This window comes from Homo sapiens, chromosome X (assembly GCF_000001405.40).
Source record: "Homo sapiens chromosome X, GRCh38.p14 Primary Assembly".
Taxonomy (NCBI): domain Eukaryota; kingdom Metazoa; phylum Chordata; class Mammalia; order Primates; family Hominidae; genus Homo; species Homo sapiens.
Genome location: NC_000023.11, coordinates 15,903,900 through 15,904,868, shown reverse-complemented (window position 1 = coordinate 15,904,868; position 969 = coordinate 15,903,900).

Here is a 969-nt window from a genome sequence, read left to right as displayed (position 1 = left end):
TTGTCCTGTGCATTGTAGGATGTTTGGCAGCATCCCTGGCCTCTACCCATTAGATGCCAGTAGCACCACCCCTCTCCAGTCAGGATGCCAAAAACATCTTCACACATTGCCAAATTCCCTTGGTGGGTGGAGGGGGCAAATCCTTAACCCTCGTTAAGACTTGAGAAGACTTATTTAAGGTCTTCACTCAGTAACCAACCTATTCCATGTGTTTCTCTACCTTATGAGGGGGATAACCTCACTAGAAATAATATTTTTTCAAAGATTTTTGGTTTGGTTTGCCAGGTTTAGCAAATTAAAAATAGAGGTTGCCCAGTTAAATTTGAATTTCAGATAAACAACAAATAATTTTTTAGTATAAACATGTTCCAGGCTGGGCACTGTGACTCATGCCTGTAATCCCAGCACTTTGGGAGGCCAAGGCAGGAGGATCGTTTGAGCCCAGGAGTTTGAGACCAGCCTGGGTAACATAGCAAGACCCTGTCTCAACAAAAAAATAAAATGAAAATTAGGCAGGTGTGGTGGTGCACACCTGTAGTCCCAGCTACTCAGGAGGCTGAAGTGGGAGAACCACTTGAGCCCAGGAGTTTGAAGTTATAGTGACCTACGATTGCTCCACTGCACTCTGGCCTGGGAGATAGAGTGAGACTCTGCCAAACAAACAAACAAAAAAAAATGTTCCAAATATTGCTTAGTGTTTAATCTGGCAACCTTATTTTCAGTGAACTGCTAATACCATAAAAAAATTACTATAAATTAATTGCCAATTCATGACAGAGGAAAACAGGATTAAACAAAATGACAAAGATAACAGTTCACAGTTAGTGAGTTATAGTGAAAACAGCACATATTTTGGAGCCAGGTGTCTGAGGTAGAACCTGACTCTGCCATTTTGGAAGACGTGACCTTGGGCAAGCTAACTTATCTGAGTCTCCCTTTCATCTTTTATTTTTTAACAAATGGTGGGGA